The 16,479-nt window shown below is 35.7% G+C and overlaps 1 annotated feature.

The window, feature by feature from the left end:
• Positions 1,177–1,471: a silencer, noted in NCBI's record as "tiled region #3904; K562 Repressive non-DNase unmatched - State 24:Quies". NCBI's record gives its function as "represses a minimal TATA promoter and a strong SV40 promoter by Sharpr-MPRA in K562 cells {active_cell/tissue: K562}" and the evidence as "EXISTENCE:reporter gene assay evidence [ECO:0000049][PMID:27701403]".

Below are 16,479 nucleotides of genomic sequence, written 5' to 3' on the forward strand. Positions count from 1 at the left end.
AGGTCAGAAATTGGAAGCCTGAACCAGGAGTTGAGTAATAAAGTTCTTTCTGTTCTATGCCAAGAAGTTGGAACGTTATTATGGGGGCAATAAGAAAATGAAAGTTTTTGTTTGTTTGTTTTGAGATGGAGTTTCCCTCTTGTTGCCCAGGCTGGAGTGGGATGGCGCTATCTCGGCTCACTCGCCTCCTGGGTTCAAGAGATTCTCCGGCCTCAGCCTCCAAGAAGCTGGGATTACAGGCACGCACCACCATGCCCAGCTAATTTTGTATTTTTTAGTAGAGACAGGGTTTTGCCATGTTGGCCAGGCTGTTCTCAAACTCTTGACCTCAGGTGATCCACTCACCTCTGCCTCCCAAAGTGCTGGGATTACAGGTGTGAGCCACGGCGCCCAGCCAGAAAGTGAAAGCTTTTAAGCCCTCGAAGGATGGAGGCTGGTGAGGGAGGTGAGCACCTCTCTCAAGGATGAGTTACAGAAAGATGATTCTCCAGCTACAGAGAGGAGGCTGGATCAAAGGGAGACATAGAGATATGCCACAAAGCTGACAAGTACTAAGTGCCACTAAAGATTAGCTCTCAGATTGCTTCTGGGTGTCCCAAAACATGTCCCTGGTGTGTCATATCTGGGAAGCAAGAATATTTTCAGGCAATGTACAACTCCAAGGAGCGCCATTGCCTTTCTACCCCGATAGGGTCACTGTATCATAGAAGCAAGGTATGGCTACCAGTGCAAAGAGGCTTAAGGTGTTTGACAAGTTCACAGCCTGAAATCATTTCTCTTTTTTTCAGGGGCATCTAAAAAACTGATCACTAGTTAGTTTATCTTTTTGGAATGAAGATATCTTGGCTTTATATAACAAGGCTAGTGAGAGGCACAAATAAGTTTACCTATTTAAACACAACTATGTAAGAAACATAAAGGGTGATACATAATACAAGGAAACATCCTTAGGGGGCAGGCTTTATGGAAATTAGATTGTTAATATTAAAAAATGTTTTTCTATATAGTCCAGTTCAGAAAAAATAAAACGACTAGACCTAAATACTGTTTTTGGTAAAATAAAAATATTCTCATTGAATTTCATCAGAAAGATACATTCTTACAAATGCATTATATCATTAGTGCTCCAAAAATATCCTTTTCAGGTAGGGATTATTATTATTTCCACATTTCATATGGTGAAACTGAGTTTTAATAAGCTGAAATGCGTTGTCCAAAATGTCTCATGTTAATACAATTAACAACAAAGATGGCCTAGAGTTAGATCATTCCATTCACCACAACTAACTGCTTACTCTGTGCCAGACACTGTAAAAGGCACTGAAGACGCAAGATATGTAAGAGGTGGACCATTGCCCTTATTTGTTTTGGATTTCCTCCCATGTTTGCAGGATTTTCTCTTTGCTTTGCTCAGGCTGAGAAGAGCAGTTCTAAACCCTAGAACATCACAAAGGTCCACTACATTCCCACGCAGATAGGTGGTTCTGGTTGTTTCACTCTTCACTTGACTGTATGAATCCCCAATATGCTACGGGACTTGGGATGGGGCTTGACTCACTCACATGTTAATCCCCTCCAATCCACAGCTTCTGGAAAAAAAATTATAAAGTCGATTTCTGGAGATTTTTATTACACTGTCTGAATTGTGATGCTTTGTATGAGGTAAAAGGTGGCAATTAAAATTTGTTAGGTATGTCTTAGGTTGCTTGTCACTGATCTAGACTCTATACTCTGAAAACACAATGTAAACCTTATTATTTATCTTAGAGTGTACTCTCCAAAAACAAAATGAAAACATTCCTAGTCAGGGTTACTTTCAATGTGCGCTGATTCACATGCAAATTGGACATATGATCATGGGAACGGTTTTATATATCCCTGAAGTAAAAAAGCATATTATGGTGCCACCACTGTTCCTAGAAAAGACAGTCATGTGGTGATTAAAAAAAAGAGTCTTTTTAAAATTCACTTATACAAATTAAAAGCGATGAGATACAGGTATCAATTTTAAAGAAGGTTAATTTTTAGGCAAAGTGGGTTAAAAAAAAGACATATCAATCAAAGATTGCCAAGGTTTATCACCAGCCACAACATGAAATTGATTTTATAAAAATTAACCCACTCAGCAACAATTTAAATAGCATTTTGGATGCAGTGACTTGTCACAGTATATGTCAGTAGCTTTTTTCCTGAGAATCTGGTATAATAGGATAAAAAAATAAAAATTCAGTTTTCATCTAATGATCACTTAGGCTTCAGAGTGTGGGAAATAAGTACTAAAAAAACTCTCTGGGGTTTAAAGCATAGACTGTCTTAGGCTATGAAGTACTAAAGTTAGCAAACCACATTTTCACATCTTCCTTTGTAGTGAGAACCAAAAATGACACAAAATCCATTCTGTGATAATAATATCCTTCAGTTTTTCCATTATTCCCTAAAGATCCAAATATCTGTCATTCTCATGCTGCTAGAATCTCTTCACCAAAGTAAAATTGAGAAAAGTATCTGTGTCCCAGTTTCCACTTTACAGTATTGCACCTGCCAATCAGACTCACCCATTACCACAAATAAGTCTTTAGAGGATTGCAAAATGAATTGAGTCCTTCAGATAAGAACCAGTAAAAAACGTATGTAAAATTTCAACACACGAGGATTTTGAGTGTTCAGATCCTAAATCTCTTATGAATTACATGGAAGGGTATGCAACCTACCCAATGCTAGTCACAATGAATCAAAGTAGCAGTGTTTGCTGGTGGAATTGTCTTCATCCTCAGACCTGGCATTTGCTTTCATGCCAAATCTACTAAGTTATTTTAATACAGCTGTCGACATCTTAATAATTACCATAAATTCCAGGTTTTATTACAACTTATGTAAGTAATGAGGGAAAATACTTAAATTGTTAGTTTGGTTAGATGTCTAAAAAGTAATATGCTAAACCCAAACCCTTCTCATAATTAAGGAATCAAGTAAAGCAAAAGGAAGATAAGTATTACATTGCTCTAAATTTTTCACATTTTACAATTATAGTTACTTTTTTGCAAGACAGACTATATGGGAGGTCATTCTGGGAGAAATTCAGGATTGAAAATGATCAGATTTGTTAATGTGTATGCTACCCCAAAAATTGGAAAAGAAATGATATTCAGAAGTTTTATATATTTACTAAATATAGTAAAGCTAAAGCTTGAAGGAAATTTTTATTATACCTTGGGAAATTGGGATAGGATGGAAATAAGAAAAAAAATTGATAGCCGCAGGTTACTTAGAGAGATTTGAAAAATGAATATACTAAATTTTTTTAATTCTACAAAAATGAAAGATAAAATGCTCAGCAAGTAAGCCTTTGCCATTGCAATGTGTCATAGACTGGTTTAGATTTAAATGTAAAAGATTATTTTAAGTAAGGAGTAATACTCAAAATATGAAGAACTAGATAGAGATTTCAAGGTGAGTATACTAGCAGCAGTGGAGGTGGCAGACAGGGGAAGAATGGGAGCATTAAATAAATAAGGAAACTGAAGTCAATAAGTAGAGTTAAGACAAGGTGTTAAAATACTGAGATCAAATTAAGGAATGAATAATCATTTGTTCAATAATTATTATGTGCCAGGTGCTTACAGACATTCTCTTGTTTAAGAAAATATATATACTAAACTCTGCTTGCAAGCCTGAAGGTGTTTCAAAACGTAGGTTTTATTTCGTTTTGTATTTCAGGAGACAGAGTCTCGCTCTGTCACCCAGGCTGGAGTGCAATGGCGCAATCTCGGCTCACTGCAACCTCCGCCTCCTGGGTTCAAGCAATTCTCCTGCCTCAGCCTCCTGAGCAGCTAGGATTATAGACACCCGCCACTAAGCCCGGGTAATTTTTGTATTTTTAGTAGAGACGGGGATTTCACCATATTAACCAGGCTGGTCTCAAACTCCTGACCTCAGGTGATCCACCCACCTCGGCCTCCCAGAGTGCTAGGATTACAGACATGAGCCACTATGCCTGGCCCAAAATGTAGGTCTCATTATTTAAGTATGATGAGGCCAACAGATCGGGAGAGGATTACTATTGAAAAGACAGTTTGTTACATTTCCCAAGAGGAGGGAGCATACCACATCATATTGGGGGGCCACATGAGGAAGCATCAGGATCAGTCTGGAGGCAAAGGGAGTGGAAAGAAAACGTGGCCAAGAGCCTTTATTATGGTTCCATGGGCAGAAATGGGCAGAGCAGGGTAAGCTGGTTTAGGATTGGTTGTTTGAGTAATTGTATTGGGTTCTGGGGTATAAAGCCTATCTCTAGTTGTCTAGTACTTGGTAACAGGGTGATTACAGTAGGAAAATAGTGGCTTAGTGTAAAATCCTGACAAAGGAAGAGTTTGGGATATGGGCTCTTGCTTAGTTGGTTTTCATATCTAAGAGGTGTCTTGGATATATGTTTGCTGTCTCTAGGAATTAGCTACCCCCAGGAAGGACAGTCCCTCCAGAATCAGCAAGGTCCAGATGTGAAAATATCCCACCAAAACCAACTAGAAACCCAGACAAAATATATAAAATAATTTGCTTTAAGCATCAGACAACAGGCATTACAGGACTATGGTTGCGGAGAAAAGCAAAGCAAAAAAGTTGAATCCTGTGATCACACTAACCTACTGCTTAGAGGCCATTTCTAGTCCACGGGACAGAGAGAAAAACAAAAAGAGAGAGCCTGGCCTTCTTACTAAGTGAGCAGGCATATATCAGAATTTGGGAGACCACATCAGCTAGAATTTGTGGAGCAGAATACCAGAGTAAAGGTAGTTAAAGGGAGTGGGAGAGGGAGAATGGTCGGTCAAGACATTCAGAGGACTCATAAAATCTTCAGCTGATCTGTGCATGCATGGAGTGAAATTCCATGTCTGGGGGCCAGGAGTGTGGTAGGAAACACCAGAAAACACTTGGCTTGACAGTTTCTGGACTTTACTCAGGACTGGAAGGCATTTGCATACACACCTGCAGAAGTAGAATCATCTCATAATACACAAGCCACAGGCTAGAATCCTCAGAAGGGACCAGCCTTAGAAATAAGGCTAAGTTGGTCTGAGACTAAATACTGTGCTTGGTCCTTAATGCCAAGGCTCAAAAGGAGCAAACTGATTCCAAATAAAACTATGCTAGAATAAATTCCCACATGAATTAAGGGAATACGACAAAATCTAACACTTTACAATGTAAAGTTCACAATGTCTGGCAACTAATCAAAAATTACCTGGCATACAAAGAGGTAGAAAAATAGTATTCATAACCAGTAAAAAGGAAATCAGTCAAAAGAAACATTACCATAATAATAACAATGATACAATTAGCAGACAAGGCAATTCAAACAGTCACTTAAAAATTTTTTGACACATTATATTTGTATATATTTGGGGGGTATATGTAAAATTTTGTTACATAAATAGAGTGTGTAATGATCAAGTCAGGGTATTTAGGATATCCTTCATGTGAGTATTTATCACTTCTATGTGTTGGGAACCTTTTAAGTCCTCTCTTCTACCTATTTTTAAACTACAACACATTGTTGTTAACTACAGTCACCCTACTCTTCTATCAATGAGTAGAAATGATTCCTTCTGTCTAACTACATATTTGTATCCATTAACCAATCTCTCTATCCCCTCTAGCACCCGTATACCCTTCCCAGCCTCTGGTATCTTTCATTCCACCCTCTACCTCTATGCAATCACCTTTTTGGCTCCCAGCTATGAGTGAGAACATGCTATATTTGTCTTTCTGTGCCTGGCTTATTTCACTTAACATAACGACCCCCAGTTCCATCCATGCTGTTGCAAATAATAATATTTCATTATTTTTATGGCCAAATAGTATTTCCTTGTGTATATATACTACATTCTCTTCATCCATTTATCCATTCATAGACACTTAGGTTGATTCCATATCTTTCCTGTTTTAAGTAATGCAGCAATAAACATGGAAGCACATGTATCCTTTTGATATATGAATTTATTTTCCTTTGCATAAATACTCAGTAGTGGGATTACTGGGTTGTATGGTAGTTATATTTTTAGATCGTTGAGAAATCTCCATACTGTTTTCCACAGTGGCTTTACTAATTTACATTTCCATGAACAGTGTATAAGAGTTCCCTTTGTCCACATCCTTGCCAACACCTGCTATTTTTGTGTTTTTAAAAATAGCCTTTCTGGGATAAGATGATATCTCATTGTGGTTTTGGTCTGTATTTCTCAGAGGATTAGCGATGCTGAGCATTTTTTCATATACCTGTTGGCCATTTGTAAGTCTTCTTTTGAGAAATATGTATTTATGTCCTTAGTCCATTTTTAATGGGATTATTTTTTGTTTTTGTTTGTTCGTTTGTTTTTTACTACTGAGTTGAGTTCCTCATATACTCTGGATATTAGTGTTCTGTCAGATGAATAATTGTAAATATTTTCTCCTATTCAAGATGTTGCCTCTTCACTCTGTCGAATGTTTGTTTTGCTGTGCAGAAGCTTTTAGTTTAATATAGTTCCATTTGTCTGCTTTTATTTTTGTTCCCTGTGCTTTTGAAGTCTTAGCCATAAAATCTTTGCCTAGACCAATGACTTGAAGAGTCTTCCTTCCATTTTACTCTAGTTGTTTTACAGTTTTAGGTCTTACATTTAAGTCTTTATTCCATTTTGAGTTGATTTTTGTATATGTTGAGAGATGGGGGTCCAGTCTCTTTCTTCTACATATGGTTATACAGTTTTCCCAGCACCATTTACTGATGATGCTGTTTTTTTCTCTAATGTATGTACTTGATGGCTTTGTCAAAGACTATTTGGCTGTAAAGAAGTGGATTTATTTCTCTGCTCTGTATTCTGTTTCATTGGTCTAGTATCTGTTTTTATATCAGTACCATGCTGTTTTTGTTCCTATAGCTTTGTGATATATTTTCAAGCCAGGTAGAGTGATTCCTCCAGGTTTGTTCTCTTTTCTCAGGTTGTTTTGGCTATTCTGTCTCTTTTGTGGTTCTATACAAATTACAGGGTTTTTTTTTTTCTATTTCTGTGAAAAGTAAAATTGGTATTTTAAAATTGATAGGGATTGCATTGAAACTGTAAGTTGCTTTGGACAGTGTTTTCATTATAACCATATTAATTTTTCCAAACCATGAGCATGGAATGCCTTTCCATTTCTTTGTGTCCTCTTCAATTTCTTTCATCAGTGCTTTGCAGCTTTTCTTGTGGAAATCTCTCACCTCCTTGGCTAAATTTATTCTTAGTAATTTAAGTTTACTTTTATAGCTATTGTAAATGGGATTGTTTTCTTGGTTCCACTTTTGGCTATTTCATTATTGGTGTATAGAAATGCTACTGATTTTGCTATATTGATTTCTCAGCCTGTAACCTTACTTTCAGTAAACTTACTGAATTTATTTAACAATTTTAAGAGTTTTTAAGTGGAGTCTTTTAAGTTTTATAAATATAAGATAACGTCATCTGCAAAGAGGGACAAGTTGACTACCTTCTTTCTAATTTGTCTTTTTAATAATTTGTCTTTTCTTTCTTTCTCTTGCCTGATTCCTCTGGCTAGGAGGTCCAGTACTATGTTGAATAGAAGTAGTGAAAGTGGGTATCCTTGTTACAGTGCTTAGAGAAAAGGCTTTCAGCTTTTCCCTGTTCAGTATAATGTTAGCTGTGGGTTTGTTATATATGGCCTTTATTATTTTTGAGATATGTTCCTTCTATGCCTAATTTGTTGAGAGTTTTCATCATGAAGGGATATTAATTTTATCAAATGTTTCTTTTGCATCTGTTGAGATGCAAAACCATAATAATATGGCTTTTAATCATTCATTCTATGGATGTGATGCGTATTTATTGATTTGTGTGCATTGAACAATCCTTGCATTCCTAGTATGAAACCCACTTGACCATGGTGTTTTTTCTTTTCTATATGCTCTGGAATTGGTTTGCTAATATTCTGTTGAGGACTTTTGCATCTATGTTCATTAGAGGTGTTGGCCTAAGGTTTTCATTTTTGTTGTGTATTTGTCTCGTTTTGTTATCAGGGTGATGTTTGCTTCACAGAATGAGTTGAGAATTTTCTTCTCTTCAATTTTTTGGAATAGTTTTAGAAGGATTAGTGTTAGTTCTTTTTTATATATTTGGCAGAATTTGGCAATCTACCAAATCCATCTAGTATTGGGCTTCTCTTTTGAAGACACTTTTTATTACCGATTTACTCTCATTATTGGCCTGGTCAGGTTTTCTATGTCTTCCTGATTCAATTTTGATATGATGTATGCTTCCAGGAAATTATCCATTTCCTCCAGGTTTTCCAGTTTGTTAGTATATAGTTGTTCATAATAGTCTCTGATGATCATTTGTATTTTTGTATATCAGCTGTAATGTCTCCTTTTTATGTTTGACTTTGATTATTTGGGTCTTTTCTTGACTAACTGAGCTAGCAGTTTGTCAATTTTGTCTATTTTTTCAGAGAAATAATTTTGTTTCATTGATTCTTTGTAATTTTTTTAGTCTGTTTTATTTAATTCTGCTCTAATCTTTATTACTTATTTCCTTCTGCTAATTTTAGATTTGCATTGTTCTTGCTTTTCTAGTCCCTTGAGGTGTATCATTAGATTGTTAATTTGAAATCTTTCTACCTTTTTGATGTAGGCATTTAATGCTATAAACGTCCCTCTTAGCACTGCTTTTGCTCTATCCCACAGGTTAAGGTAAGTTGTGCTTCCATTTTCATTTGTTTCATGAACTTTTTTATTTCCATCTTAATTACTTCATTGACCAAAAGGTCGTTCACTAGTATGATGTTTAATCTCCCTATATTTGTATATTTTCCAAAATTCCTTTTGATAGTGATTTCTAGTTTTATTTCATTGTGTTCTGAGAAGATAATTGACATGATTTTCTGTTTTTTTTTTATTATTATACTTTAAAGTTCTAGGTTACATGTGCACAACATGCAGGTTTGTTACATATGTATACATGTGCCATGTTGGTGTGCTGCACCCATTAACTCATCATTTACATTAGGTATATCTCCTAAGGCTTTCCCTCCCGCCTTCCCCCACCCCACAACAGGCCCTGGTGTGTGATTTTTTTTTTTAATTTGTTAAGACTTGTTTTGTGTCTTAACATATGGGCAATCTGGAGAACGTTCCATGTGCTGATAAGAAAAATGTATACTCTGCAGTTATTTAATAAAATATTCTGTAGATGTCTGTTAGGTCCATCTGGGATAAAGATCAGTTTGAATCCAGTGTTTCTTTGTGCTTATTTTCTGTCTAGATATTCTGCCTAATGCTGAGAGTGGGGTGTTGAAGTCTCCCAATATTGTAGTATTGAAGTCTGTTTCTTTCTTTAGAACAACTAATATTTGCTTTATGAATTTTGCTGCTTCCATGCTGGGTGCATATATATTTAGAAATTTTTATCTTCTTACTGGACTGATCACTTACCATTATGTAGTGACCTTCTTTGTCTCTTTTTAAATTGGTGTTTCTGACTTATAAAGTCTGTTTTATCTGATATAAGTATAGCTACTCCTGCTTGCTTTTGGTTTCTGTTTGCATGAAATATATTTTTCTGTTTCTTTATTTTCAGTCAATATGTGTCTTTACAGGTAAAATGCATTTATTGTAGGTAGCGTATAGTTGGATCATTTTTAAAAATCCATTCAGCCAGTCTATCTTTTAAGTGGAGAATTGGTTTACATTCCAAGTTACTTTTCATATGTGAGGTTTTGTTTCTGTCATTTTGTTGATTGTTTTCTGATTGTTTGGTGTATTCTTTACCTTTTTTCTCTCTCTCTCTTAATGTTTGTCATTGTAGGTTGATGATTTTTCTGTATTGGTAACATTCTAGTTTTTTGTCTTCCTCTTTTACATGTTTGCTTAGCCAGTAAGTTTTATACTTTCACGTGTTTTCACATTGGTAATTGTCATTCTTTTGATTCCAGATTTAGGAATCACTTGAGCATGCCTTGTAGGGCTGGTCTAGTGGTGATGAATATTCTCAGCTTTGTTTGTCTGAGGAAGACTATTTCTCTTTCATTGATAAAAGATAAATGAAGATAGATCATGCTGAATATTGTTTCTTGGTTGGCAATATTTTTTTCTTTCAGCACATGAATATGTCATCCCATTCTCTCCTAGCTTATAAGATTTCTACTGAGAAATCTACTGTTAGTCTGATGGGGATTCCTTTATAGGTCACTAGATGCTTTTCTCTTGCTGTTTTTAGATTTCTCTGTTTGTCTTTGAATTTAGACAGTTTGACTAGAAAGTGCCATGGGAAAAGGCCTTTTTACATTGTATTTGTTTGGGGATATTTGGATGTCTAAATCTCTTGCTAGAATTAAGAGATTTTCACCTGTTAGTAGGTTTCCTAACCCATTTGTTCTCTCTTAATCTTCCAGGATACCAATAACTCAAATATTTGGTCACTTTAGGGTGTCTCATATGTTATGAAGGCTTTGATTATTCTTTTCTCTTTATTTTTGTCTGACAGGGTTATTTCAGAAGAAATGTCTTCAATTTTTTATGTTCCTTTTTCTACCTGATCTAGTCTACTACTGAAACTTCTGAATGTATTTTGTGTTTCATTCAATGAATTTTTCAGTTCTAGAATTTCTGCTGGTTTTTTAAAATAATATCTATTTCTTTGATAAAGCTCTCATTTATATGCTAAATTGTTTTTCCTATTTCTTTGTATTGTTTTTTAGAACTCTTTTCTCACTGAGCTTCTTCTTCTTTTTTTTTTTTTTTTTTTTTTTGAGACAGAGTCTTGCTCTGTCGCCCAGACTGGAGTGCAGTGGTGCGATCTCAGCTCACTGCAAGCTCTGCCTCCCAGGTTCACGCCATTCTCCTGCCTCAGCCTCCCAAGTAGCTGGGACTACAGGTGCCTGCCACCATACCCAGCTAATTTTTTTTTGTATTTTTAGTAGACATGGGGTTTCACCGCATTAGCCAGGATGGTCTCGATCTCCTGACCTCGTGATCCATCCACCTCGGCCTCCCAAAGTGCTGGGATTACAGGTGTGAGCCACCATGCCTGACTCAGCTTCTTTACCATTAACATTTTCAATTCTTTTTTCAGGATTTTGTGAATTACTTTCTGATTGGGATCTGTTGCTTAAGAATTACTGTGTTCCTTTGAAGGTATCTTATTTTCTTGCTTTTTCATGCTTCCTGTGTCCTTAAGTTTATGTCTTCACATCTGGATCTTCCAATTTTTTTGGAATTTGTCTTCATAGAGGACGCTTTTCTTCCTGAAGATGTATTTGTGGTGTTGGTTGTGTAGGGAACTTTGATTCTGGGTACATGCCATAGTGTAGTCTCTGTATGATTTCTTCAGCTGTAAGCAGCATCTGTTATTTCTTCAGTGGCATAGGGTGTGGTTACTAGTGAGGGCTGAGGTGAAGTTTTGCTGGGGAATGGGATGTCAAATGGGCAGTCTTTGGGCCCTAGTGGTGGCAGTGGAGGACTGAGCATGTCTGTCCTTGGGCTCCAGGGCAGCAAATGCTGGCACTGGTGTTAGCAGGTCCAAAAAGGCCGATTCTTGAGACTCCAGGGGACCTACTTGGATACTGGTCGTGGCAGCAGTGGGCTCTGTGGGTAGGAAGGTTCTTCAGTGCCTAGGCAGCCAGCATGGCATAGGCAATGTCAGTGGTAGTGGTGGCACAACCTTCTGGATCTTCAACTGTGCACACTGGTGTTGGAAGTGGCTGCAATGGGCTTGGTAGGCCAGTCTCCATCCCACAGGTGTTATGTGTCAGGAGGTGTTAGCTGCAGGGGAGCAGTATGGTGTGGAGACCCAACTTCTGGTTCCTTAGAAGAGTGCTCAGATGCCAATGGTGGTGAACTGGTCTGGGCAATTCCCTGGACCCTGGACTGTATGCCCTGGCCTCAGGGAGCAAAGCCAGGCCAAGCAGGCTTGTCCTCAGCCTCCCTAATGTTGTGTGCATGCACCGTAGATGGTAAGTAGGGGTAGGGCAATCCCCAGCCTCCCAGCAGAATTCCCAAGTGAAGGATGGTAGCTGCCATACTACTGCTCTGCCACTCTGGAAGGCTGGGCTGCCTTCAGTGGCAGCAGGCTCAGTTGATTGTGAAGAACATACATGTGTCTCAGATTTTAGCCCCAGCAGAACTTAGCTACCTAGTGGCTGTGGCCCACACCTCACTCATGCCTCAGCCCTGGTCGTGTTAGCTCATGCCTCACTTGTGCCTCAGCCCTGGATGCAACAGCCTGTGTCTCACTTGCTCCTCAGCCTGGTGGCAGCATCCTGTGCATCACTTGTGCCTCCATCTTAACATTGTTGGGCCCCAGGAGAATGCGCAATTTGGAACAGAAACTACCCAAAATGAAGTACAGAGGAACAAAAGGTAAAATCTAATTTCCAGAACTTTGGTGTAATATAAAGCAGTATAACATATAGGTGTATTTGGAATTCCAGAAAGAAAGAACAAGAGTGAACTGAAAAGTAATTTTTTAAAGAGGTAAAGGCCAAAAAATTTCCAAATAAGATGAAAATTATCTCAACAATGTCAACAAAACCCAAAAAGAATAAATATTTTAAAATAATGGCAAGGCACATCAGTAGGATATTTTGGAAAATGAGTAATAAAAGAAAAAAGTTTTAAAGCAGCTGGTGGTGGAAGAGGAAAGAAACAAAATTATACACAAAGCATTAAGAATTAAATCAGGCATCTCACAAGAACTTATGCAAGCTAGAAAGTGGTGACAGCCTAGAATACCTTATCCCCCTCCCAAAAAAAAATCTTTCAAAAATGTAATCAAAATAAACACAGTACTGTAAGAAGTGTTAACGAAAAAAATGTAATCAAAATAAACACAGTACTATAAGAAGTGTTAAAGGAAATTTCTTAAACAGAAAAAAAGATACCCAATAGAAATTTGGATACACAGAAAAATAAAGAAAAGCACAAAAGATAAGTACATGAGAAACAAAAATGCTATCTGACACATAATCCTAATTGAGATTTTAGAACACTCCACCCAACAATTTCAATAATAAATATATTGTTTATAAGTGCACATAAAGCATTCACCAAAATAGACATATTCCAGACTAAAAAATAATCCTCAATGTATGTGAGAAGATTAAAATCACTCAAAGTATATTCTATGACACAATGATATAACACTAGGGGTCAATAGCAGAAAGATCTTTTAAAAATGCTTAAATATATGGATATTAAAGAAGATACTTCTTGACAACCCTTGGGTCAAAGAAACAAACAGAAGGGAAGTTAAAAAATATTTGAACTGAATGAAGATGAAAACAACACATTAAATGCTCTGTGGTGCAAAAAAAAAAAAAGCAGAACTTAGTGTAAAATTTATAGCATTACAGTTTATATAGTTTATATGTAGAAAAATATCAAATAATTTCAACTTTTACCCTAAAAAACTGGAATAAAAAGAACAAGTTAAACCTAAAGAAAATGCAAGGAAAGAAACAGTAAAGATAAAAGTGGAAGTCAATGAAATATAAAATCAACATTAATAGAAAAAAGACAATGAAACCTAAACCTTGTTTTCTGACAAATTCAATAAAATTGGTAAGTTCTAGATGCAATAATCGAGAAGAAAAAGAAAAACTTATGGATTACCAATATCAAAAATGAAAGCAAGGACATCACTAAATCCTATCAATATTAAAAAGGTAATAAAAAGATATAGTGAACAACTTTATACTAATGTATTTTGCATCTTAAAAAGAAACATAAAAGTTTCCTGAAAGATATAAACCATCTGAGCTTACTCCAGAATAAAATAGATAACCTGAAGAATTTTATAAGTATTAAAGAAAATAATTCACGTTACTAAACTTTTCAACAAAAAACTTCACACTCAGGTGGTTTTACTGGTGAATTCTACCAAATATTCAAGGATGAAAAAAAGGTCAATACTACACAAACTCTTACAGAGAATAGAAGAGACTACTTCTCAATTCACTTTATGAGGCCAGCATTATCCTGACACCAAAACCAGGCAAAGATATCACAAAGAACACTACACTAATTTCCTTCATGAAAAAAAAAATTCTTAAAAACTTTTAGCAAATCAAATTTAGCCATAAATAAAAAGAGCAAAGCAAGCTGGGTGCAGTGGTACAAGCCTGTTGTCCCAGCTACTTGGAAGGCTGAGGCCAGAGGATCGCTTGTGTCTGGGATTTTCAGGCTGTTGAATGCCATCATCATGCCTGTAAATAGCCATTAGCCATAAATAAAAAGAGCAAAGCAAGCTGGGTGCAGTGGTACAAACCTGTTGTCCCAGGTACTTGGAAGGCTGAGGCCAGAGGATCGCTTGTGTCTGGGATTTTCAGGGTGTTGAATGCCATCATCATGCCTGTAAATAGCCACTGCACTCCAGTCTAGGCAACATAGAGAGACCCCATTTCTAAAAAATAAAAACAAAAGAACAATATGTGATCAAGTGGTATTGGTCATAGGAATGATAGTTTGGTTTAATATTTTAAAAGTCAATCAATAAAATTAACCATATTAGTAGGCTAAAAATAAAAAGCTATATGACAATGTTTATAAATACAGAAATAGAATTTGATAACATGCAACATCCAATCATAATAAAAATGCTCAAAAAACTAGAATGGAAGAAAACTTTTTCAACGTGATAGAAGAAATTTACAAAAATAACCCTATAACTAACATCATACCAAGTGATGAAAAACTGAATGCTTTCCCCTTACTATTGGAAACAAAAAAGGATAGCTGTTCTGTCCCCTGCTGTTCAACATTGTACTGGAAGTCTCAGCCAGTGTAATGAGGCAATTAAAAATGAAAAGAATGCTGATTGAAAAGGGGGGCAATGAAACTGACTTTATTCACAGATGGCAGGATCTTGTATGTAGAAAATAGTAGGAATATACAAGAAAGCAACTAGAACTAATAAGTGAGTTCAGCAAGGTTACATAATACAAAATCATTATAAATCACAATTATATTTCTAGTTATTTCCAATGAAAAATTAGAAATTTTAAGTAACAAAAATTCTACTTATGTGCAAGACATGTACATTGAAAACTATAAAATATCATGCCCCAAAAATGAAAGAATACCTAAATAAATGGAGAGTCAAAACATGTTCAAAGACCAAAAGTTGCAGTAATTTAGGATGTCGATTCTCTTCCATTGATCTATACAATCAATGTAATTTTAATCAAAGTCCAAGCTTTAAAAAAATTTAACAAGTTAATGCTAAAAGTTATGTGGAAATGCAAAAGACTTAAAACAGCTGAAATCAACTGGGAAAAGAACAAAATGTCAAGACTTAATACTATTTGATTTCAAGGTTTACTTGTTACTATAGTAATAAGACAATGTAATATTGACAAAAGAAGAGATACAGATTAAGGAAACAGAAGATACAGTCCAGAAATATCACAAATGTGGAATCAATTGATTTTTGACACATCTGCTGAGGTAATTCACTAAAGGAAATAATAGGCTTTCTTTCAACAAATGGTATTGGAACCTTTTGAAATCCAAACGCAAAAAGAAATTAGCTTCAAATATTACCTCACACTATTTATAAAGCAATAATTCAAAATGGAGCATAAGACCTAAATGTAAGAACAAAGACTATAAAACTGCTACTAGCAAATATAAGAAAAACTCTTTGTGACCTTTGATTAGGCAAAGATTTCTTAGATAAGATACAAACAGCCCAAACCATAAAAGTTGATAAATTTTCCCAAATTAAATATTTTCTCTTCAATGGACATCATTTTAAAAAATGAAAAGATAAGTGAAGATTGGGAGAAAACATTTGCCAAATATAGCTGATAAAAGATTTTCATCCAGAATTTATAAATAAATCTTATAAACCAATAACAAAAAGACAAAAAAATCCTATTTTAAAAAACAGACAAAAACTATTTTACAATAACAAAGACATGGAATTAACCTAAATGCCCATCAATGGTAGAATGGATAAAGAAAATGTGGTACATATATGTCATGAAATACTATGCAGCCATAAAAAGAACAGAATCATGTTCTTTGCAACAACATAGATGGAGGTGGAGGCCATTATCCCAAGCAAATTCATGCAGGAACAGAAACCCAAATACCACATATTCTCACTTATAAATGGGAGCTAAACAATGAAAACACATAAATATGAGGGGGGGAACAACAGACATTGGGGCCTACTTGAGGGTGAAGGGTGGAAGGAAAGAGAGGATCAGAAAAAAATACCTGTCAGGTACTATGCTTATTACCATTGTGAAGAAATTATCTGTATGCCAAACCCCTCATGATACACAGTTTACCTATATAACAAACCTGCACATGTACCACTGAACCTAAAAGTGTTTTTTATTCTTAAAAATTAAAAAATTATAAAAATAAATAAGATTTAAAAATTAAAAAAATTTTTAAACAGGCAAAATATTTAAATATTCATGTCACCAAGGAAATATATAAATGGCACA

This window comes from Homo sapiens, chromosome 12 (assembly GCF_000001405.40).
Source record: "Homo sapiens chromosome 12, GRCh38.p14 Primary Assembly".
Classification (NCBI taxonomy): Eukaryota; Metazoa; Chordata; class Mammalia; order Primates; family Hominidae; genus Homo; species Homo sapiens.